The sequence below is a fragment of the Homo sapiens genome, chromosome 9 (assembly GCF_000001405.40).
Source record: "Homo sapiens chromosome 9, GRCh38.p14 Primary Assembly".
In the NCBI taxonomy this organism is placed as follows: domain Eukaryota; kingdom Metazoa; phylum Chordata; class Mammalia; order Primates; family Hominidae; genus Homo; species Homo sapiens.
In genome coordinates this window covers 70,511,697-70,537,408 of record NC_000009.12, presented here as the reverse complement: position 1 = coordinate 70,537,408, position 25,712 = coordinate 70,511,697, and the positions used below count along the sequence as shown (strand labels likewise).

The 25,712-nt window shown below is 41.2% G+C and overlaps 1 protein-coding gene and 1 long non-coding RNA gene across 22 annotated transcripts in view, besides 1 other annotated feature; one reads left to right on the top strand and one right to left on the bottom strand.

Annotated features, from left to right (window-relative positions):
• TRPM3 (transient receptor potential cation channel subfamily M member 3) overlaps positions 1-8,349 on the top strand; it is a 917,912-nt gene extending 909,563 nt beyond the window's left edge. For 11 of the 19 annotated variants that reach the window (NM_001366141.2, NM_001007471.4, NM_001366149.2 and 8 more), the window contains one exon: positions 4-8,349. In NM_001366141.2, coding sequence (NP_001353070.1) covers positions 4-1,456 — 1,453 coding nt within the window. In that variant the 3' untranslated portion in view covers positions 1,457-8,349. The remainder of the gene's footprint in view (positions 1-3) is intronic. The other 8 variants (NM_001366143.2, NM_001366142.2, NM_001366150.2 and 5 more) reach the window with 1 other exon arrangement.
• The window catches only part of KLF9-DT (KLF9 divergent transcript), a 136,304-nt gene that overhangs the window by 13,085 nt on the left and 97,507 nt on the right, over positions 1-25,712 (bottom strand). The window contains exon 4 of one of the 3 annotated variants that reach the window (XR_001746709.3): positions 21,660-22,843. The exons of the other annotated variants lie outside the window; for them this stretch is intronic. This is a non-coding gene — a long non-coding RNA (KLF9 divergent transcript). Of the gene's footprint in view, positions 1-21,659; positions 22,844-25,712 lie in introns of those variants that run through there. 3 annotated transcript variants of the gene reach the window in all.
• Positions 22,770-22,970: a silencer, noted in NCBI's record as "peak7263 fragment used in MPRA reporter construct". NCBI's record gives its function as "represses an SCP1 promoter by STARR-seq MPRAs in K562 erythroleukemia cells {active_cell/tissue: K562}" and the evidence as "EXISTENCE:reporter gene assay evidence [ECO:0000049][PMID:32103011]".

Sequence of the window (25,712 nt, the reverse complement as noted above, 5' to 3'; positions counted from 1 at the left end):
CAGGGTGGAGAACATGTCTATGCGGCTGGAGGAAGTCAACGAGAGAGAGCACTCCATGAAGGCTTCACTCCAGACCGTGGACATCCGGCTGGCGCAGCTGGAAGACCTTATCGGGCGCATGGCCACGGCCCTGGAGCGCCTGACAGGTCTGGAGCGGGCCGAGTCCAACAAAATCCGCTCGAGGACCTCGTCAGACTGCACGGACGCCGCCTACATTGTCCGTCAGAGCAGCTTCAACAGCCAGGAAGGGAACACCTTCAAGCTCCAAGAGAGTATAGACCCTGCAGGTGAGGAGACCATGTCCCCAACTTCTCCAACCTTAATGCCCCGTATGCGAAGCCATTCTTTCTATTCGGTCAATATGAAAGACAAAGGTGGTATAGAAAAGTTGGAAAGTATTTTTAAAGAAAGGTCCCTGAGCCTACACCGGGCTACTAGTTCCCACTCTGTAGCAAAAGAACCCAAAGCTCCTGCAGCCCCTGCCAACACCTTGGCCATTGTTCCTGATTCCAGAAGACCATCATCGTGTATAGACATCTATGTCTCTGCTATGGATGAGCTCCACTGTGATATAGACCCTCTGGACAATTCCGTGAACATCCTTGGGCTGGGCGAGCCAAGCTTTTCAACTCCAGTACCTTCCACAGCCCCTTCAAGTAGTGCCTATGCAACACTTGCACCCACAGACAGACCTCCAAGCCGGAGCATTGATTTTGAGGACATCACCTCCATGGACACTAGATCTTTTTCTTCAGACTACACCCACCTCCCAGAATGCCAAAACCCCTGGGACTCAGAGCCTCCGATGTACCACACCATTGAGCGTTCCAAAAGTAGCCGCTACCTAGCCACCACACCCTTTCTTCTAGAAGAGGCTCCCATTGTGAAATCTCATAGCTTTATGTTTTCCCCCTCAAGGAGCTATTATGCCAACTTTGGGGTGCCTGTAAAAACAGCAGAATACACAAGTATTACAGACTGTATTGACACAAGGTGTGTCAATGCCCCTCAAGCAATTGCGGACAGAGCTGCCTTCCCTGGAGGTCTTGGAGACAAAGTGGAGGACTTAACTTGCTGCCATCCAGAGCGAGAAGCAGAACTGAGTCACCCCAGCTCTGACAGTGAGGAGAATGAGGCCAAAGGCCGCAGAGCCACCATTGCAATATCCTCCCAGGAGGGTGATAACTCAGAGAGAACCCTGTCCAACAACATCACTGTTCCCAAGATAGAGCGCGCCAACAGCTACTCGGCAGAGGAGCCAAGTGCGCCATATGCACACACCAGGAAGAGCTTCTCCATCAGTGACAAACTCGACAGGCAGCGGAACACAGCAAGCCTGCGAAATCCCTTCCAGAGAAGCAAGTCCTCCAAGCCGGAGGGCCGAGGGGACAGCCTGTCCATGAGGAGACTGTCCAGAACATCGGCTTTCCAAAGCTTTGAAAGCAAGCACAACTAAACCTTCTTAATATCCGCCACAGAAGGCTCAAGAATCCAGCCCTAAAATTCTCTCCAACTCCAGTTTTTCCCCTTTCCTTGAATCATACCTGCTTTATTCTTAGCTGAGCAAAACAAGCAATGCTTTGGGAGGTGTTAACTCAAAGGTGACTTCTGGGCCACAGATCAAGAAAGCATTTGATCTGACCCAGTGCCAGACACAGGGGATTTAAGGCATGTTCACACTTGCTGGGCAGGGAGGGGGAAGAGAGGGAGAAGGAAGGGTTAGAGATGAATGTGTATCCGCAGTCACAGCAGAAAGCCATGAGAGCAGGGGAAACAAGGGGCTTCGAGCACGCTCCATGCCAGGAGGCATCTGTTGATTTCTGACCATTATCAAGAGTTGTAGGATGCAGGGCTAAATTGCAAAATAAAATAAAATAGCCAGCGTACACAATGAGATATTCTAAACTTCCATTCTGTTTTCTTTTCACATTGGCTCCATCACTGGTGACTGATGAAGAGCATCCTCTTTATTCAGTATAAGCCGGCAGCAAGCAGTTCTACCTAACGTCCCACATCCTTCTCATGCCAACACTTCTGTAATTGATCATTATAAAGAAAAAACAAGGTAACAGTCATAGTTCACCTGTCTCTTATCTATTCACTTCTGGTGCCACAACTGTTTATCCTTTTTTGAAGAAAATAAGGGAACAGAAATGCCTTTTTGTATTGCAATCGAAATGAAAGAAGAGTTGATGTTAAAAAAACAAAAGTCAAGTGATTTATTATATACAGTGGGCGTTCAAGTCTAGTCGAGCAAGCTCAGGAGAATGTAATTAAATAATTTTATATTTTTTAATTTATTTTGTATCTCACCTGTCATGGATGAATTCATTCACTGAATATGTAATATTGAACTTAAAAAAAAAAAAAAAAAAACAGTGGACAGAACTAGCCTGAAATTGCCATGTGGGATGTTCTGTTCTCACCGTTCATGTCGTGTGTTGTGCTGCTGTGTGACCGTCATCATTTGCATGGCTCCACCACGTCCTCCTGAACACCTCCAAGACGTAACTGCCAATTTTTCACACCACTCATCACATGACCATTTTGTATATGAATATATGGTTATATGTGGATATTTTCATACCTAGAGTTTTGCCATCTAATCTGAGCTCAGCATAAATTTAATTGGAGTTTTTCAAGGGCTGGTATCTTTTCTATGGAAATGTTCCAAAGTACTTTTTAAGGAAGTTTCAAAACTATAAATAACCTTAGATTTGACTGGGAGTTTGGTATCAACCCAAAGCCATCAGTTGCAAGCATACCATGAATATTTTTCTTATAGACAGAGCTATAAAAAAAGATACAGTAGACCAAAATAGAAAGCAAATAAACCATATAAAGAGTTCTATAGTATATGCCACTTATACACATGTATATGCATTTATGCAGAGACACATATTTATATATAAAATAAATGGACATAAAGAGCTTTCTTAAGAGGCTTGGACTTTTCTATCACCTTGAAGTATAATCAAGATTTTTTTTAATATACAAGAAGTTCCATTGAAAGAGTTCATTATACTATTAGACCAAATGTTGAAATTATGAATTTTTTAAATTCCTATGACTTTTCCTCATATCAAACTAGAGTTGTCAAAATGACTCACTGCTCGCCTTCTGCCCTTTTTTGTCTGAAATCACTCACTATCAGGACATCTCATTTAGTCTCGCTTTTCCTAAACAAAGTTTTTACACCACGTACAATCTGAATAGACACGCAACTTTAAACCAGCTAGTGTTACAGACTCTAAAGTAGAGGCATAATCTTCTAGATCAGAATCTGGATTGGAAGTGGGATAAAGAAATCTTGACCCCAAATCTTTGGATTCCTATTTGGCTCATTAACGTTTAAAAAAGAATAAAGCCTTTAAGGAAAACAATCTATTGTTCCTGGCCTGAGATACTACCTGGTTCTTTTGTTTAATTATAATTGAAAACACCAAGTTTTACTTTATTTTGTGAAATCAAGTAAATACATGGCCTTTAAATATAAGATAAAAAACAAAATAAAAACTCTTCTGAATAAGCATTTCAGGTATAAAAATTGTGATGAGGTCACATATGTAAAGAATTAAACAATTCCTTTTTCACTCCTTGGCATTTAGGTGAATTGCTAACAAACACCCAGACTCCCTTATTTACAGCTGTTCTAGAAACACTTAACATTTTATTGGGCCCCACGCTGGCTATTTCCCTCTCAGCAAACATGCACTGGGTCTGAGAATAAATCAGTCGTTCTTAAACTTCCTTGAGTCATGAATCCCTACGAGGCTCTACGATAACTCTAGGCTCTCTCTCCAGAAAGAAAAAAAAAATGTACATAATGCAAAGTTGCAATATAACTTGAAAGGGTTCATGAGCCCCTGGTTCTATATTGATTATGAGGGAAAGGAACCATGTTTGCTCGTAGTTAATGCAGTTGTAATAGGCACTTTACATTTGAGACCATCTCTCTGTGATTCTCAGGAAGGCCAAATCTCAGCACCAGAGTTTGAACAAAGATTTTGTTATTTTTGTTCTTTAAATTAGATGTTGCCAATTTAATGCACTTACATCCTAACATGTTGATGATTTTAAGTATCAAGCACAATCACAATGCTGAAGTCTCCCTGAAGGGTCTATAGAGGAATCCAAGAAGGAGGTGAAAACATTATTCATTGACATCAAACACCTCCAAGGCCTCATTCTGGGCCAGATTGGAAGTGAGGGAAAGAAATTTTCAGCTCAAGTGTTTCCATTCATCGTGATTTCAGAGAGAAAAGGATAGGAACTGGGAAACGAAATACTCAACAGTCCTGATCTTGCAATTACCTGATTCTTTTGTTGTGCATGAAAATTAAGTTCTAACGTCTGTGAAACGTGTGAAATATATAAGCCAAACTTAAATGACTGTAGACACAAACTGTGTAACTTCCATGAGCCATTTCCTTCCTGTGCACATGTATGTGTGTTATTTTTCAGTCCATTTCCTTCCATTTCTGGGTTCTCTGTGCAGCAATGTGGCATTGATTCTGTGGCCTTGTGCAGTCAGCTTATGCTCAGCCCATTGATTCCACCACATCCCTGATCGAGGGGACGTTAATTACCTGTCTTTGTGAATTAAGCAGTTTATGAGCAGCAAGTTACTGAGGACCGTAAATAAAGTCATAGAGAGCTCAAGGAAGTAATAGCTTCGGTTTAATCATCTGCTTCAAAGGTGCCAATTTTTACATACTACTATATGTAATGATTTGTTCTAAATTGCTTGTTCCTTTTGAAAAAAATTTAAGGATGTTTTATGAAAATGACCATGGAGGTCTCCTGCTTAACCAATATACTTTATATTTATAGTTAGAGGGCCCCTCCTTGATAGATTTGAATGAGGAGCTGGAAAGCTTGGGTACAATTTTCATGACTAGTTTGTATTATCTCTGCAAGCCAAAAGGTGTATTAGCAGTCAGAATACAGCACTTTACAGAACTGGATTTTTTAAATGTATAAGTTTCCAGGTCTAGGATATTATTTAGCACTTTGAAAGTTCCCCTTTTAAAATATATATATAAGAATAATCAAACGAGAAAAATGTACTCATAAAAACACAAAATGTGTTTCTTCTGAATGTTTCAAATGTATTCTAAAATATGGTTTCTATAGATAATATTATGGTAGATAACTGGATAGTACTTTTTTACTTTCTGAGTCTGTACAGTCTAATCTTCCTGAATGTTTGGGCTGTTTAATTTCTTTAAAGATGATAAATATTACCCGGTCATCCATCATGCTCTATCTATAGGCTATACCATTCATATGTTGGGCAATGCTGTATTATAAAACACATGTAAACATGTATGTAACCCATGTTTAACCCAGCGTAGTTGTAGCATGTGGTTGTATTAATGAACGTTACAGGAGAGCTTTATAATCATTTATAAATCTGTAACATTCAATAAAGAAACACATGTTGCAATGATTAATTATGTTCCCAATTCCATGTTATTTAGCATCTTTGTGAACCGGGCATTTTTGTTCCTGATCTGCTTGATGCTTTTCATGTTCCTTTGGACCACTGTAAAATATGTGTGTAAGCTGATGTATATCCTCTAATGAGTCCTGCGAGCTGTGGTAGGCAAGTTGTGATTTTGTGAAAGATGAACTGGCATGTTATGCAAAAGACTATATGACAAATGAACTTAAAATGATATTTTAAACTCCAGTTGAATTAGCTGTTTACATCTGCCAACCCCATGCAGAAGCAGTGTACAGTATTTTATAAATATGTTCATTTAGTAACACTATGTTGTTTCTAGATAAAGTGATACTAGTGTGTAGGTGGTTATATATTTGGCCTAGATATTGCATTATAACTCACTATCCTTGAACAATAACAATGTGACTGAAATGAAGTAATCTCTCTCCAAACCTGGTCTTAATTTTGTGTCAACAAAATGCATGCACTGCTTTATGCATTTCTTTTGACTTTTCTAAGGCACTTAACATTTTACTATTGCCTGCTGTGACGCTTAAGCCAGTTAAGAATTCACTCAAACAGTTGGGCTTCTTACTATGGGGATTATGTTCAGTTTTGAAAAATTAAAAACAAAAAAAAAGTAACCAAGGGATTTTTAAATCTTTTTTTTAAGCACTGAACAAATAATATGAAATAAAGTATTAACTGCAGGTTGTATAGCCATGGGACCCAGAGGTGGCAAGCCAACACCTCTTGGGTCTGCCAAGGTCTAGGTGTTGTGCATCTGTGATATATGCAAGACACATTTCTGATTCTTCAGAGCTACTGGGTGCAAATTGCTAAGCCGGAGATGAGAGCGAAAAGTCCATTTGTGATAGTGCAGAAGTGCGCAGATCGCTGTGAATGTGTGATCCAATGATATGACAAGAGACCTCCCTCCTTGTCTTGTGGCTTCTTCACCTTGGGGGTGGGAGGCGTGTGTTTGGGTGTCTGATGAAGCACTGGGTGGTTCTAAAGAGTTTACTCTTTTAGAAAATCATCATTACTAGAAGCCATTCAACATCTGTTAAAGAGAGGAGCCAATTTGCACAGTTTTGAAAATGACTGCTCCTAAAATGAGTAGACAAAACTTTCCTCTCAGCCTGCATTGACCTAAGCTTTCTCTTCTTTTTACAAGTTGGATATTCTGTCTCTCAGATTGGAGTCAACCAAAAGAAAGGCTGGTTCCAATTAAGGAAAAGCAATTTTTTTCTTTTAATTCCTCTCAGAAGGTAGTTGTGTTACCTTTTCTCTGATGATTTCCTTGCACTCATCACTGCTAATGAAAGCAACGTGACTGTTTCTACAGGTCATCTAAGAGAGGATTTTGGTGACCAGGTAATCCAGATGGCAATAAGAATGAGGTGAATTTTCCCTTCCTTACCTTACCTAGTCTACCAGCCTCCTTAAACCTGCAGGCCCTTGTGCGTTTGCACAATGTTTGTGTGCTGGAAACTGAAAAGACATGTGTATGGCTAGAAGTCCATAGGCTTTGTAAAGAGTGTCAGTGCCAATCAGGACCCATGCCTTCCTCTGGAGGAGACAGGTGGCTGAGGCCTATGGGGCAAAGGGGGAAATTCAGCCTTGTGCCTGGATGTGCGGCTTTCTTTCTCCCCTCTTCTTGCTTCTCTTCTCTTAGTCTAAGACTAGCTGCTTTTTCACCAGACCAACAGACCCTTGCCCACATTACCTTTATACCTTGTTGACCCTCGCACAGTAAGCTGAAACAGCGGCCGCTTGGAAAAAGGCAAACATTTAGACTTTGTCCCAGGCCTGATCTTCCCACCAACTTAGCCTCCTCCTGCCTCTACCCCGGCTGGTGTTCACATTGACCTCGTCCAATTTTTGCCTCTCTAAATCTCAAGAGTCCTACACATCTTCACCGCAGCTTCCCACACATCATTAAAACCAGCCATCTGCACATAGACTGAGAGGCTGCAAATTCAAACACATGGAGGGGCCGGATCCAGAAAACACAAATGTGTGAACTGGACTGGTGAAAGTCAACAGAAGTAGGGTTTGTAAGTAAGGCATGACAGAATACACATCCCACCACAAACACCTTCAAATTCAGCTTTCCAAACACTGTCCTAGCCAAACAAACATGTCTGCCAGCAGCATTCAGTCCCAAAGGCAATAGTTTGGGACCTCTGATTTAGAGCCAACAGGATCAGATTCTTGATAGTGACTTGGTGAGTGTACACACAAAATACACTGAGAACCGAGAGGGGGGAAAAGAAACTCGCCTTATTCAGAGTTACTCTTGTTCTGAATGATATATGCATGTATATTTGTTAGCCACATAATTCTAAACTTGAACACAGAGTCTTTGTGAGAGAGATTCAGAAGAAGAGTACCATAGCATGGTATGAAGACTTACCTGCTTCCTGTCACTACTGCGTCTGACCTGAGTTTATATTGCTGCTACCGCTGTGTAAAAACAGTACGTGCAGTATACTGTACTCATAGCCATTTCATAATATAGGACCTAGACTCTCATTTGTAAACGTTCTAACCCTAGTTTATAATGGGGGAAATTATTCAGATATCATTTTTAAATGAATTCCTACAAATACAATGGTTTTAAAATTGGGTTTGCTGAATATATATACATCTTTTCCTTCTTTGTGTATGGATGGACCACGGTATGCATATCTATCGACACTATAAATATATATAAATCCTTAGAAGAATTGTTCTTTTTTAAAGGTCTATTATTGGATTCACAATGCACTTTGAGTTTGATTGTTTAGATATACAATTCAGAGCAGAAGTTGGCAGATACCACGGGAAAAACTTTCTGAAATTTCTGTAACAAATGTTTTGCAATAAAAAAAAAAACTCAGTAGTTTAAAACATGACTTGGACTTCTTTGTGCACTTATTTGCTGCCATCTAATCTTCACCATCCTCATCCTAAGAACTTTTGGAGTAGAGATAATTGCCTAGGGCTCCACAAATTACTTGTTCCGGTGAGCAGAAGTTGCAAACTGGTAGCCTGTGGGTCATATCTAACCAGTAGGAAAAGGGTATTATTGGCCAGCAATTTTTTTTTTTAATTTGGAACATTTAAAAATTGAGCCTGGGCACAGTGGCTTACTCCTGTAATCCCTGCACTTTGGGAGTCCAGGGTGGGAAAATCCCTTGAGATAAGGAGTTCGAGACCAGCCTGGCCAACACGGTGAAACCCCATCTCTATTAAAAATACAAAAATTAGCCGGGTATGGTGGCACATGCCTGTAGTCCCAGCTACTCTGGAGGCTGAGATGGGAGGATTGCTTGGACCCAGGAGGTCGAGGCTGCAATGAGCCAAGATGGCACCACTGCACTCCAGCCTGCCTAGGCAACAGGTCGAGACTCTGACTCAAAAGTAAATAAATAAATAAATAAATAATTGACAGATTTCACATCTAATTCCAGATTTCTAGCTTCTTTTAAAAAACCTGAAGATCTGGTAATATAAGACCCATGTTTTCATATGACAATAATCAGCTGAATCATGGCATCTTGGGTGCTCTTTTAGAAGGAGCCTGTACTCTCTAATATACCACAGTCCCCACCATTCTCAAGTTCCCTTTACTCAGAGCATTACCTGGATGGCCCCTACATGTACTGGGAGGATGAAATTCAGCCCATAACAGTGGGTGAATTTGTGAGTGGAAATGTAGTGGTCTTTTACAATTTTAATTTCTTTTAAGGTAAAGGAATCAGAATACAAGAATCAACTGGAAACAACATATGTGTTGGTCAACAGGAGAAAATAACTGATTATGATACATGATTAAAAATAATTAAATTTTGTGTATTGACATAGATGTCATTGCTATATTCTTAAGTCTATTTAAAAAGAAGTACAGAGAAGCATATATGGTCTGTCTCAGTCCATTTGGGCTGCTATAACAAAATACCTTAGGCTGGGTGATTAATTTATAAAAAGAGAAACTTATTGCTTACAGTTCTGGAGGCTGGGAAGGCCAAGATCAAGGCACCAGCAGACTCGGTGTCTGGTAAGGGCTTGCTCTCTGCTTCACAGATGGCACCTTCCTGCAGCCTCACATGGGGGAAGGTGCAAGGGAGCTTCCTTGAGCCTCTTTTAAAAGGACACTAATCCCAGTCGTGATGGTGAAGCCTTCATAACTTAATCACTTCCCAAAGATCCCTAATACTATCACACTATTAGTTTCGAACGTGAATTTTAAGGTGACACCAACATTCAGACCATAGCATGTTCTAATATCAATTTTTGTAAAAATTAAACCAGGCATATAGATTATGGATGTATTTGCATATGAATAGTAAAAGTCCAAAAGAATATCACAGAAGAGAATAAAATTTTTGCAACAGAACTTTTTTTTCACAAAAATTCAAATGCTGTGTAAGGGCAACCTAAAGTGACCTAAGTAAAATTAATGCAAGTATCACTAGACATGAACCAGGAGGATTTTCTTTGCTTTCTTTCTCCTCAGAAACCTGTTGTAGGTATTGTGACAATAATCATAAGCCTTATAATGGCAGGTCATCTTCTCCAAGGTATGGTAAAGCTGGAATAAAAGAAAATAAAAATGGTAGCAATGGTTTAACTATTAATGTTGGGAAATTATAATTTTAGGCATAAATATAATCAATGCCTTTTGAGCAGCTACTTTGTTCCTCTAGAAGAACTGAAAATTTTATTAAAAAAGCAAGACAGTCATGACTAAAAAGATAATTACATGTTTTAGTTATTTAATTAGAGCTGTTGAAAAAATGGGGACAAGCAGCCTAAGTTTAGCTCATCAACACTAAAACTATTCAAGTAGAAGCAAAATAGCCACCAGAAAGGCAGCGTATGGATGGTTTCCCACATTTGGGTTGGAAATTGGACTAAAAAATCTGCTCTGAGACTCTGTGTAGAACAGACTCAAAATCTTCTTAGAATAAAAGGAAAGAATGAACATTTGTAGCCTAGAAGGACCTGAAGGAATCGGGCAAGACTAAAGAAGCCAGGAGGTAGAGTCTGGCATTTCCAAGCCTGGAGTCCCAGGCAAAAACAAAGGTGTAGCCGCAAGAATAATTGAGGCAGGCCAGGCGCGGTGGCTCACACCTGTAATCCCAGCACTTTGGAAGGCCAAGGCAGGTGGATCACCTGAGGTCGGGAGTTCGAGACCAGCCTGACCAGTAGAGAGTATTTTAGTCTCTACTAAAAGTACAAAATTAGCCAGGCATGGTGGTGCATGCCTATAATCCCAGCTACTCGGGAGGCTGATGCAGGAGAATTGCTTGAACCCAGGAGGTGGAGGTTACGGTGAGCCAAGATCGCACCATCACACTCCTGCCTGGGCAACAAGAGCAAAACTCCACGTCAAAAAAAAAAAGAAAAGAAAGAATAATTGAGACAAATGCCTGGGCTCCAGTTGGAAACCAACCTAACCAGAGCGGAGGATTCACATTGGAGATTTGCCGGAAAGTATGGCAATCCCTTATATTCATTTAATCTCAACACATTTATGAGATTGCCATTAATATTCCCATGTCCCAGATGGGAAAAAATGGGGTTCATTATTTTATTTTGTTTTATTTTATTATTTTGAGACAGGGTCTCACTTTTTTGCCCAGGCTGGAGTGCAGTGGCATAATCTCGGCTCACTGCAACCTCTGCCTCCCAGGTTCAAGCAATTCTCCTGCCTCAGCCTCCCTAGTAGCTGAGACTACAGGCACACACCACAAGGCCTGGCTAATTTTTGTATTTTTAGTAGAGTTGAGATTTCACCATGTTGGCCAGGCTAGTCTTGAACTCCTGACCTCAAGTGATCTGCCCGCCTCGGCCTCCCAAAGTGCTGGATTACAGACCTGAGCCACCGCACCCAGCCCCATCATTTTATACATCAATGGTTTGAACGTTATTCTGTGATGAAAAGAAAGCGACTGAAAAATTCTGGTCCAAAATGTGGGCTGTAACATTATGGCATGGCAAGGGAGAGGGTAGGTACAGTGAGACTAATTGCAGGATTCCAGGCTCCAGGTGATAAAACCTTATAGATTAAAAGACACTTTGGAGAAATTTCACAACTCAATTCAGGAAATATTTCTTGGATATCCACAATTTGAAAAACACTTGACTAAGTGCTAGTACCTTCTGTGTGAAATGTCAGCCTCTTACTCAATTTCCTGGTGAACAATTAGTCATATTTCATAGAGGACTATTTTTCAGTGTATGAGCATGACTTGAAATGCCTCCTTGCTGGCAGTCATTTTGTGCAATATGGAAGAGCTCTATACCTTTGGCTACACCCTTAGAGAAGGAGGCATTGACCCAAGAACACCAATCAGAGTTTTTTCTTTGAGGATCTGGAATAGAGTTGAGAGAGCTGAGCAATTCCGGGTATTGAAACCATAACTTATAGTCTCAGGAATTGTCAGCAATCATGTTTCTACATACTGGCTGACTTGCAGAAGAAGTCAGTCTGCCAAAAAATACAGAAATTAATAAAGACACAGAGACGGGGCAGATACATAAAACGAAGTTTCTAGGCTCTTCCTGGAACATGGCTATCATCTCACCTTTGATGTCTAAAGCCATATCAGTATCTTTAAAATAAATTTTCTCTTTAGTAGGCTGAATAATGGCCCCCAAAGATGTCCATGTCCTAATCCTCAAAAATCTGTGAATGTTACCTTATATGGCAAAAGGGATTGTGCCAATGTGATTAAGAATCTGGAGATGGGTAGATGATCCTGGATTCTCCAGATGGGTCCAGTGTAATCACAAGAGACTTGTAAAAGTGAGGCAGGAGGAATCAGATTCAGAAAGTAGACTATGTGACAAGAGAAGCAGAGATTGAAGTAATACAATGTAAAGATGGAGGATGTGGCCACAAGCCAAGGAATACAGGAGCCCTCCAGAAGCTGGAAAAGACAAGGAATGCATTCCTCTCCTAGAGTCTCCAAAAGTAACTGGAACCACAGATATCTTGATTTTAGTTCCTTCAAACTCATTTTGGATTTCCGACTTTCAGAATTGTAAGAGAATAAATATGTGTTATTTTAATTCACTGTTTCTGGTGTTTTATTATAGCAGCAATAGGGAAGTAATGAACCCCTTCCCCACCTTCACGTTTTTAAAAAATCACGTTGGTGTCTAATTTTGTGCAACCACAGACTCTAAGTCTACTATATCTTTTTAATACTAAGATGTCAGCGACTATAAGAAACACCACCAAAATAATACCAGATTTGGGAAGACAGAAATATTGCCACATTAAATGTATACATTGATCAAAAATTATATCCTGGATTCAGGATGTAAAAAACAATGTGCTTAGATTTAATAAAATAAGACAGTATATCCTTCAAGTCACAACTAAAGGATACATTGCCTTCACAACTCTGCCTCTATGAAGCATTCTCCAGCCTACCACAATGAACTTTCCTTTCCTGACCAATGATATGGTTTGGATTTGTGTCCCTGACCAAATCTCATGTCAAATTGTAATCACCAATGTTGGAGGAAGGGCCTGGTGGGAGGTGATTGGATCATGGTGGCAGAATTTCCCTTTCCTGCTTTCTTGAAAGTCAGTGAGTTCTCATGAGATCTGGTTGTTTAAAAGTATGTGGCACTGGCCAGGCATGGTAGCTCATGCCTGTAATTCCAGCAGTTTGGGAGGCCAAGGTGAGTGGATCACTTGAAGTCAGGAGTTCGAGACCAGCCTGGCCAACGTGGTGAAACCCCATCTCTACTAAAAATACAAAAATTAGCAGGGCGTGGTGGTGCATGCCTGTAGTCTCAGCTACTAGGGAGGCTGAGGCAGGAGAATCGCTTGAAGCTGGGAGGTGGAGGCTGCAGTGAGCTGAGATCACACCACTGCACTCCAGCCTGGGTGACAGAGTGGGACTTCATCTCAAAAAAACAAAAAGTGTATAGCACCTCCCCCTTCTCTGTCTTCCTCCTTCTCCAGCCATGTAAGACGTGACTGCTTCCCCTCAGCCTTCTGCCGTGATTGTAAGTTTCCTGGGGCCTCCCCAGCCATGCTTCCTGTATAGCCTGCAGAATCGAGAGCAAATTAAACTTCTTTTCTTTATAAATTATCCAGTCTCAGGTAGTTATTTAGAGCAATGCAAGAACAGACTAATACAACAACACATCAAGCGTTGCATTTGTCCTCTATCACAGCAATTGTCCTTCTACGCAATACTGGTAAGTTCACCTGTTTATCTCCCAGCCAGACAGTGAGAGCCCTGGTCCCTAGCTTAGTGCCTGCAAATAGCATGAATGAAGAAATAAATGAATAGACAGTTCCTGCCCTCAACAAATTCCCAATCTGGTAGAAACACATATGTTACCATACGAATCAAACTTTTCAAAGCACCATTAACAGATTATATAAACAGAGTCCTCTAGATTACAGAGTGTACTTTTAATGTACATTCAAATTTGCAATAACTGGAAAGAAGGGTTGAAAGAAAGCTTGGAGGGGCTTCTCAGAAGAGGTGATATTTGAGCTCAAATATGTTGGCCTTGAAGAATGAGTGGAATTTCAAGAAGCAGAAAAGAGGGAGCAGGGAAGAGATTTCAGGAAAAGTAGTATAGCATGACCAACAAGAATCACAATGGCATGAAAACACAACAGAGCGCTGGAAGACAGGTGAGAGATTTATTGTGACTGGAGCATATGCCAACATATTGGAAGTGGAATGCTCTAGATATGAGCTAAGGAAAATTTGAACTAGGTAAAAGCTAAAGATGACCTGAAAGTGGAAATGATAGAGGAAGCCTGTAATACTGTGAAATATTTGTTATTTGACCCCATTGCCTAGCATACAACTTCTAAAATCCTTAGAATCTCCAAAGTGACACCTTTTCATATTCTAGTGAGCTGACTGATGGTTGGCAGCCCCTAAGTATTTGCAGAATGGGGGCTAGTCACTGGAAAAAACAAGGTATGATTAGAGGGTTGGGACTTTCAGCTCCAGCCTCCCCCACCTCTAGGGAAGAGAGAGGGACTGAAGGTAAGTTGATCACCAATGGCCAATGATTTAGTCAATCAAGCCTACTTAATAAAGCTTCCATAAAAACCCAAAAGGACAGGGTTTGGAGAGCTTCTGGATAGCAGAACACCTGGAGGTTCCTGGAGGGTGACATGCCCAAGGAGGGCAAAGAAGCTCCACACCCCTCTCGCCCCACACCCTATGCATCTCTTCATTGGTATCCTTTGTAATATAATAAAGCAGTAAATGTAAGTAAAGTGTTTCCCTGAGTTCTGTGAGCCACTCTAGCAAATCAATCAAACCCAGGGAGGGAATTGTGGGCACCCAGATTTGTAGCCAGTCAGTCAGAAGCACAGGGAAAACAACCTGGAGCTTGTGGTTGGCATCAGGAACAGAGTGTGGGGGCAGTCTTGGAGACTGGGCCCTCAACCTGTGGGATCTGACACTATCTCCAGGTAGACAGTGTCAGAATTGAATTGAATTAGAGGACACCCAGCTGGTGGCCACTGCAGAACTGATTGCTTGCCTGGTGTAGGGGGGAAAACTTCCACACATCTGGTCACAGATGTCTTCTGTGTTGACTGTTGTGGTGTGAGAGCAGAGGAAAAATGGTTTGTGCTTTTTCCCCTCAAAGCGAAAATGGGAAAGAGACAAGACTTGCTAATGGAGTAAAAGGGCCATAGAATGGGTTAAATATAGCAGGAAGGATCAGTTAGGCAGACACAATGGGGTGAGAGTAGATACAACCAATGGAAAGAGAAAAGTTAAAGATGACTCTGAAGTCTCTAGTCTCAAATGTAGGTCACAGAAATAGTCTGGTGAGTGTGCAATTGTATATTGCAATTGCAATCTCATAAACATTTGCTGAATGGATGAGTGAATACATGAATTATAAAACAAATGAGTGACGAATTGAATGAATGAACAAATGAATAATGGTTCTTTGCCCAAACAGTGGCAAGTAGACAGAAGGCTGAGGCAGAAGATACATGGGACCTTTTACTCAAAATTAAATCTGGGCTGAAAAGTGTTTTGGGGACCATGGCCCCAAATGCTTTGCCCACCAAGGTATTTTTCCCCCATGTGGTATGTCTGAATACGCCCTCAGTGAGTTCCCAATCTAGCAGGAACAGATATATATATATATATATCCAACAGATGTCCCCTAAGAAATATTTAGAACTTGGCATCAAAGCTAACTTTGTCATGGGAAGATGCTCCTAATAGGGTGCTCCACTGGAGGCCCCTGAATCAAGCAAGAGAAGGTGACAGGAAGATTGGAGGAAAAGTGTGGCATCCCACATGACCCAGAGATACCACAACTGGGAGCAGAGGTGGCCTCCGGACTCACCAGTCCCTTCCATTGGGCACCCAAGATGCTTGAAGCCTCTCAAAAATTATTTACATGGCATTATTCTTGGTTATATTTATTCTCCACCCCCACACCCACCCCTATCATTCTCAATGTATAATTTAAAGAATCCGTTCTGTCTTATCTTATTTGGTAAGCCTAGCAATGCTTCATCAAATAAAGTGCTTTCTCTATTTCAGAAAAAAAAAAACTGATCTTTTTTGTGTCAGTTCTGCCAAGGGATCCACTTCTCGTTTTGTTTTGTTTCGTTGTTGTTTATTGAAACAGGGGTGGAAGGGCTATGTGGAGAAGAATGATGTAGGTGGAGGGGTAGAATTTGTTTCCATAGATCTCTCTCTCTCTCTCTCTCTCTCTCTCTCTCTCTCTCTCTCTATATATATATATATATATATATATATATATATATATATACTTTTTTTTTTTTTTTTTTTGCAAAGCTTGTCCCTATGTAATCCAGGCAAAAGAACCTAACTGGTCTCCCCCATGTTGCTGGCTTCTAGATACTGCAGGGGCTGTTCCTAAATTTGCTTCCTTTCTTAGGGATTTCAACCAGACTTGTCTCTGCTATTTGGGGTTTCTATGCTGACAGCAAAAGCTCCCTAGTGGCTCTGTTTCATTCAACCCATTTTACTGGGCCATTAGCTCAGTCTGCAGTGGCAGAAAATCAGGTCAATTCTACAAAGTACACAGACATTCCAAAAATTTTAATAACTGATTTTTTTTTTCCTAATCAGTTTTTTCCTCTCAGTTTCTCTATCTTTTAAATGGGGCTTAGAGGTTGAATCAGATCCGTGGCTTCTAAATTTCTCAGGTTACAACTATTTATCAGAATCTGCTGAAAACTAGAAATCCTTTCTAAGAGAGAAAAAGAAAGCTGAGATTTGAAAGACTGTTTAAAAGGGTTCATGCAATCCCTAAACTCATCCACAGTCACCAAGGGAAGAATCTACGTACCCCAGGTTAAGAAATGATTGCGCCTCCATCTCTAAAGCCCTGAGACTGCATGCAGGCTGCCAAAACAGAAAATACACGATCATTTTTGGAACATCTGTCTCTAGAAGAAATCAGGCTGACAGCTGAGCCATGGTATTGTGAGCAGCAAGCCCTCGCCCATCCTCCTCCACAGCTGTTGAACAAATGCACTGAGGTAGAGACAGTAAGATCCTGAATTAAGCACATCAAACTATTCCCGACGAAGGCAATATGAACAGTCTGTGCACCTTCCAAGTCTCCTGTAAACCAAACCTCCAATGGTAAGCTCTGCCTTCACATGAAGATGAACTGAGTCTTGTCAGTGATCTCAGTTTCTCTTGAGATCAAAGTCCCTGCCTCTAACCCCTAAAGGGCTGTCTGTTGACAAGGAAGCCACCCCTATTTTCGCAAGTGGCCTTTCTCATTATGACTTTATGGGATTGACACGTAACTCTCACTCACACTGGATTTTATACATGAACAAGCTTCGTCTGCTATTTTTTGAACCACGAGCTGCTGTTTCACAAACACACACTACCACTATTGTCTCATCTCTTCGTTTTTCCAGTGAATCCTTTGAACCCTCACATCTTGTGAGTTGGAAGTCCACTGTCTCCCCTTGAGTCTCTCTGCTCCCTCTTTTTTCCTCTAACTCTTAATTATGAAATTTTCAAATATACAGAAACAGTGAAGTAATAGAAAAATGAATATCTGTATACCCTCCATCTATATTCAACAATTATTGACATTTTGCCCTATTTGCTTTCTCTGTATGTATATATGTTTCTAAAACTATATGAGAGTAAACTGCAATAATTGAAACATTTCATGGCCAGGCCCAATGGCTCACACCTGTAATCCCAGCAATTTGGGAGGACGAGGCAAGCGGATCACTCGACATCAGGAGTTCGAGACCAGCCTGGCCAACATGGTAAAACCCCATCTCTACTAAAAATATAATAATTAGTCAGGCATGGTGGCACATGCCTGTAATCCCAGCTACTTTGGAGGTTGAGGAGGGAGAATTGCTTCAACCTGGGAGGCAGAGGTTGTGGTGAGCCAAGATCGCGCCACAGCACTCCAGCCTGGGAGACAAGAGCGAAACTCTGTCTCAAAAAAAATAAAAAAGAAAAAAAAAGAAAGAAACATTTTACTTCTATATACTTTAAAATTCATCTCCTAAGAATAATAATATTCTCCTCCATAACCACAATACCATAAGAAAATTTTAAATGATCCTTAATGTCATCTAATATCTGTTTCATACTCAAATTTCTGCAATTGTTTCCAAATGTACTTTTGTGATTATTTTTTATTTTCCAAATCATCACCCTCTGGCTGACATAGCTCTTTAACCTTTTAGTCTGGAGCAACCTCCAAGCACACACTTTGCTTTTCATGACACTGACTTTTTAAAGAGTCCAGGCCAAACATCTTGTTGAATGTCTCACATTCTGAATTTGTGTGATTATTTTCTCTTGTCTTATTTAGGCTCCTCTGTCCCTTCTACCTTCTATAAACTAGAAGTTTGGCCTAAAGCCTTTTTCAGACTCAGGTTAAATATATTTGGCACAGGCCAGGCACAGTGGCTCACACCTGTAATCCTGGCACTTTGGGAGGCTGAGGCAGGTGGAGCACCTGAGGTCAGGAGTTCGAGACCAGCCTGGCCAACATGGTGAAACCCTGTCTCTACTAAAAATACAAAAATTAGCTGGGCATGGTGGCATGCGCCTGTAAGCCCAGCTACTCAGGAGGCTGAGGCAGGAGAATTGCTTGAACCCGGGAGGCAGAGGTTGCAGTGAGCCAAGATCGCGCCACTGCACTCCAGCCTGGATGACAGAACGACACTCCGTCTCAAAAGAAAAAAAAAATATTTGGCACAAACCCTTCACAAGTATCTTATGTACTTTTGTATTACAGTAGAAGCTCCACAATGCCATTAGTAGTGGTTAAGGTAGAGACCACCAGATCTCTCCAATGTAAAGATATATTTTACCTTTACAATTCATAAGTAAACTGTGGTGTGACACTTAAGTCACATGAATATATCATTCCCCCAAGAATTTTACAACGAATGGTTTCAGTATGAAGAATTTTACACCTAATGGTTTTAGTGTCCATTGATACAATCCTTGAATGAATACATTGGGGATTGCAAAATGTACCCCCTTCCCTTCTGGAATTAATCCAAAAATGTCAGTTCTACTTTCACATTCAAATGAGGTTAGCATGAGGTCTGAGCAGTCCACTACTGCCATTGCTTCTTCTTGTCACTCAGTGTCACTGTTGAAGACAGTCCCTGCACAACCCTAATGGTTCTGGTCCACTTTGAGATGGTGCCACTTGGATCCAAATCCTTGAACAAGCTGCTGTATTCCAAAAAAGAGGCCAATTCCAGCCTATCAGTGATAAGTGGAGCTCTGAGTGCCCCTCCCCTATGCTCCCAGTTCAATTCTCAGGTTCACATATGCAGACTCAGCACATCAGCCTCCCTAGGAGGGCTAATTTCACAATAAGTTCCAGCAACTTCCACCTCATGGATTCCATGAGGAAACTGACTTTGTTCTTTTCCCAAAGACCCACACTAAGGAGCAGGCAGGTTTTCCTTTATAACTAAATAGAGTGAGACTGATGATACTCCCTGTCCACACTCACCCTTCTTTTTTCAGTTTATTTTTCTTGCCTTATTGCACTTATATTAAAAAACTGATTATTGTGACATGTAACACATATGGGAAAATCTATGTAAATAAAGGTCTGGCTAATAAGCCCAATGAGTTCCAACATCTGAGAAGACCCAATTATACCTGTCCCCAATAACTATTATCTCCTTTAAAGGTAACCATTACCAGGCACAGTCGCTCATGCCTGTAATCCTAGCAATTTGGGAGGCTGAGGTGGGACGATCACTTGAACCCAGGAATTTGAGACCAGCCTGGTCAACACAGGGAGACCTTGTCTCTATACAAATATAAAAACATTAACAGGACACAGTGGCACAAGCCTGTAGTCCCAACTACTCAGAAGAGCGAGGTGGGAGGATGGCTTTATCCTAGGGAGTTAAGGCTCCAGTGAGCCAAGAGCACACCACTGCACAGCAGCCTGGGTGACAGAGCGAGACCCTGTCTCAAAAAAATAAATAAATAAAGGTAATCATTGTCATGACTTTTATGCAATGGGGTGCTGGTAAGTGTTTAACAACCCTTTCTCAAAAAAAAAAAAAAAAAAAAAAAAAAACAAACAAACAAACAAAAAAAAAAAAACCTCTCAGACTATAATGCTTGCTGATTTCCTTGATGTAACTATTCCAACTGTGGCTGATTCCAAGCTACCAACAGAGATTTGGGTTGAGATGCTACAGTCAACTCTCCTGATACAGCACAGTCTCAACTCCAGCAGACTACTGTGTTTATGGTAACCACCTCCTTTCTTTCTTCAGGACTTTACTGCTTATATATACATATTTGAAAACCTAAAGTTTAATTGAGTTCTCTTTATGTAATTGGAATAATATTATGTGTATGAATCTCATCGATGTTGTTTAGACTAACTATAGCATGATCATTAACATGGAAATGTAGTATCAGTGTGTAATTATACCACAGTTCACTGGACATTGGGATTGTTTCCAGTTAGAGGCTATTAAAAATAATGAAGATTCTGTTGGGTCTGTCCTTATGACTGGAATTTCTGAGTACTAGGATAAGTGTGTCTTCAACTTCATTAGATTAAGCAAAATTTTCCAGAATAGTTTATCAAATTACGTTCCTTCCCACTGTGTGTGACATTTTGCTTCTTTCCATATTGTCAGTTGATATGGTCAGACTATTTAACCTTAGACTTGTAGACAGTATAAAATGGTATTTCATTGTGTCTTAAGGCTTTTTTCTGATCACTAATTAGCATCTTTTCTCTTGTTTTTGGCCATTTGGATCTTCTCTGCATTCTCAACTGTCCTTTTATGATTGAACTCTTTTGTGTCCCTTTAAAAAAAAAAAAACAGCCAGTCACAGTGGTTCACATCTGTAATCCCAGCATTTTAGGAGGCCAAAGCAGGAGGATCACCAGGAGTTTGAGACCAGCCTGGGCAACATAGTGAGACCTCATTTCTAAAATAATAAATAAACAGGCTGGGTGCAGTGGCTCATGCCTGTAATCCCAGTACCTTGAGAGGCCAAAGCAGGTGGATCACTTGAGGTCAGGAGTTTGAGACCAGCCTGGCCAACATGGAGAAACCCCGTATCTACTAAAAATAAAAAAAATTAGCCAGGCATGGTGGCACATGACTGTAGTCCCAGCTACTCAGGAGGCTGAGGCATGAGAATCACTTGAACCCAGGAGGCAGATGTTGCAGTGAGCCGAGATCACACCATTGTACTCCAGCCTGGACGACAAGAGTAAAACTCCATCTAAATAAAATAAAATAAAATATAAAATTAAATTAAATTAAAATTAAAAATTTAAGAAATATATTCCCAATCAAACCAGAAAAACTCAGAGTGGAAGCTGGAAATTGCTATTGGAGATTAGAGAAACGATCACCTGTCTCAACAGCAGTGGCCCATGCAGCCTTCTAAGGGAAGCCATGCTCAGTGACTGAAAGGCAATGTCCCAGGTGCGATTGCATATGCCTGTAATCTCAGCACTTTGGGAAGCTGAGGCATGAGGATTGCTTGAGGCCAGGAGTTGACACCAGCCTGGGCAACATAGCAACACCTTCTCCATACTAAAAATAAAAAAATTAGCCAGGCATAGTGGCGCACACCTGTAACCACAGTTATTCAGGAGGCTGAAGTGGGAGGATCACTTGAACCCAGAAGGTTAAGGCTGCAGTGAGCCATTATTGACCACTGTACTCCAACCTGGACAACAGAGCAAGACCCTGTCTCAAAGAAAAAAAAAAAGACAATGTGCCCTTCTAAGAGTATCTCCCCAAGTGATTCTACAGTATCTATACCCCCACACTTCTACCTTCAATGATCCAAAGTCATTTCTGGCACCTGTACATAGAGAAAAACTGCACAGATTTAATCTCTGGTGGGCCTTCCTGTACAGTCTCCATCATAAGCTACCTGTAATTAATCTTATGCTTATACAATGTACATATGTTCAAATGCTTTTACAACTATTGATATACTTTCTTCATAGGGACACTTATGCAGCTTGTGACTATATATGTTAAGCCAGTCCATTAACTTGTTAACTTTTCCAAAAGCCTAGTAAATTTCGGCCAGGCTAGAGGACAGAACTCAAAATCATAAGGTATATAAAGTAGGAGTTTGAAACAGCTCTACAGCGTAAATAGCTCTGGCTAAACTAGGCATACTGAATTTATCTACACAGACTACAGACATAATTATCAACTTCTGAGCTACCATTTATCATGTATCTGTAATTGCAAGACACTTTATATTCTTTGTGTCTAATCTTCAAAACAGCTCTACAAAGTAGGTTTTGTTATCTCCAACTAGATGAGGTAATGAAGGCTCAGCATAGTTAAAAGGTATTTCCAGGGTCACACACGTAGTAAGGAGGGAAACTCAAATTCAAACCCAGGTCTCTTGAACTCCAAAGCCTAGGCTTTTCCCACTCCTCTGCCTCTCACAACGGATGCAAAGCCTGAGTGTGGGATTTTGTCATTCTTTGAACTCTGGGCTGCCAAAGAGAAGCACTTCAACTGGAGCTCATTTAATCAGACTAACCAATGAATCCCAGTGGCATTTTCTCACATCTCTGTTTACCATATTTATTTGTACAAAGTACTGCCATGTTTAATTTTAGTCAGTGTTTACCTTCTCCAAATACTTCTGTGCCAAGAAAACAATAAAAAATCAACCTGAATAAGGCACTTTGGGTGGTAATTTTAAAATCAATAAGTAAAACAGGTAGGAAAGGGAAGATTTGGAACCATAAATGTCTATTTCCTGAGCTTGCTGTTAAGCTAAGTTGAAATGCTTAAATGTTTCCCACTCTACATCTCAAAAGAATGACCACAACTTTCCATTACTTACTGTTTTGACAACAAGTAATCCATCTCATCCGACTCACCTGTTGGAAAGCAAATGGATCCACTAAGCAATCCAGAAGATGATAAATGGGGGACAAAGTCTTTGCTGGCTGTGGCTCATCCATCATGTCTCCCAGGAAATGGGACCCAGGGGAGCAGATATGAGTGAGGACATGTTTCCTGTGGCCTCCAGGAAGGAACAGGCCACCAAATTGGCTTCTCCAGACCTACTCGGCTTCAGGTTACAGAATTACCAAATTGCTTTCCCTGCTACAGAGCATCTAAGTACTCAAACCTCACCCCTCAGAGGCAGTCCTCCCATTCATTAAGAGGCACCCCCCGAAAAACTAACCTTTTCCATGTCTTTCAGTTCTCTACTTGCCCACTTTGAGAAAAGAGAAGGCAGCCAATGCTTATTGAGGGCTGACTACAAGTCAGCCAGTTTGACACGTTTTCTCCTCAAACAGCTACAACAGCCCTGTGAGGTGGGCATTATTAGATATATCTCTTTTTCCAGAGAGACTATATATCTTGCTCAAGGACACACCGTATCAAGTGGCAGAGTTGAGAATAATTTCAGGTCTACACAGCTAGAAAGTCTGATAATTCTTGACCCTTCTTCTAAGTAGGTCTCTCCGTTCTTTGAGGTTATGTGTCAACAGGCTAGGAACCGAACACTGCTTTAGACCTCTAGAGATTTTGAGCTGGGGGAAAAAAAAAACCCTTACCAAGTCATCGACTTCCAATATCTCTCTTATCTGCCACAATGATTAACTGTCCCTAGGCTAAGCCATTTTGTGCTAGCTGTAGTCCCACTCAAGAAAGCACATCTGGCCGGGCAAGGTGGCTCACACCCATAATCCTAGTATTTTGGGAGGCCAAAGTGGGCAGATAGGTTGAGCCCAGAAATCTGAAAGCAGCCTGGGCAACCTGGCAAAACTCTGTTTCTACAAAAAATATAAAAATTAGCCAGGCATGGTGGCATGCACCTGTGGTCTCAGCTACACAGGAGGCTGAGGTGGGAGGATCACTTGAGCCCGGGAGGTCAAGGCTGCAAGGAGCCATGATCACACGACGGTACTCCAGCCTGGGTGACAGAGTGAGAACTTGTCTCAAAAAAAAGAAAAAAAAGAAAGAAAGCACATCAAACTCATGTGAGTACAGTGGCGTTGTAACAGGAGACAATGCTAAATCTCTCTTAATTTTTTATTAAATATTTATAAAATTTTCTACCCTACCTACTATTTTATCTTTACTGCTATATGTATTATCTATTATTTATCACAATATTGAGTTGGAAATCCTGATTTAGTCTAATCTTTTTCTTTCTCAGCCAAAGAAAACCAAGTCAAGCTCAGCAAGTGTGAGCTATTTGCCCAGGTAACATCATTGATAAGTGGTTTTGCTAAAGCGAGTCTTCTAAATCATGTCTTGGTTCCTGACGCTACACTGTAATATACAATTACTAATCCTGGGCAAGGAGAAAAATCTTGTTCCTAGTGCCTCGTGGACTCCCCTCTGGGTGCCCTCTCCTTCAAGGAGAAGGATCTTCATTTTACCTTTTCATCTTTGAAGTTTGCATTCTCTATGGGTAGAGACCACCTTTCTCCCCACCCCTCTCCCAGTCTCAGAGCCTCTCTTCACCAGCTGTCTCAGAGAAAAATGAACTAAGCCAGCACTCTGATGAAGATAGATAGGCAGCACAGTTAACTGGGCTGCAGAGCTGTGCTTCTCAAACATTCTGGTCTCAGGATGCTTTATACACTTCAAAGTTATTGAGAACCTGCCAGGCGCAGTGGCTCACGCCCGTAATCCCAGCACTTTGGGAGGCCGAGGGGTGGATTACTTGAGGTCAAGAGTTCGAGACCAGCCTAGCCAACATGGTGAAACCCCATCTCTACTAAAAACACAAAAATTAGCCAGGCATGGTGGTGGGCGCCTGTAATCCCAGCTGCTCAGGAGGCCGAGGCAGGAGAATTGCTTGAACTCGGGAGGCGGAGGTTGCAGTGAGCAGAGATTGCACTACTGCACTCCAGCCTGGGCAACAGAGCAAGACTCTGTCTCAAAACAAACAAACAAACAAACAAAAAACAAAGTTATTGAGAACCCCAAAGAACTCCAAATCAAACAGACCAAAAATTAGTGAGAAGAATAGCATTGTTTTAAATGTTTGCAAACCTCTTTAGCATCTGTCTTAATAGAAGACAGCTGGAGTCTCATAATCTGCTTCTGGATTTGCTCTGTTGTGATATCACATGTCATGTAGTCTCTGGAAATCTCCCCTATACATTCATGAGAGAATGAGTGTTTTAAAAGGCAAATACCAGGCTGGGCATGGTGGCTCACACTTGTAATCCCAGCACTTTGGGAGGCCAAAGCAGGAGAATTGCTTGAGTCCAGGAGTTTGAGACCAGCCTGGACAACACAGTGAAACCCCTGTCTCCACCAAAAAAAAAAAATCAGCTGGACATGGTGGAATGCACCTGTAGTTCCAGCTACTTGCAAGCCTGAGGTAGAAGGATTGCTTAAGCCTAGAAGGTCAAATGAGTCCATATTACACCACGGCACTCCAGCCAGGACAACAGGCAACAGAGCGAGACTTTGTCTCAAAAAAAAAAAAAAAAAAAAAAAAAAGCAAATCTCATCTTAGTGTTACTCAAAAATAGTTTTGACTTCACAGACACTGAAAGGGTCTCTGGGACACATACACATACACACACACACACACCCCTGCGGTTGTCCCAGGACCATAACTTGAAAGCTACTGCTATAGAATAATGAACATGGGGTAAGAGGAGCTCCAATCCTGGTGACCACTTACTGGGTATGTGACCTTGGGCATGAATTCATGCATAAGAAAGAACCTGGCACAGACTAAATGTCTTCTAAAAAGCTTTTTAAAACCTGCTC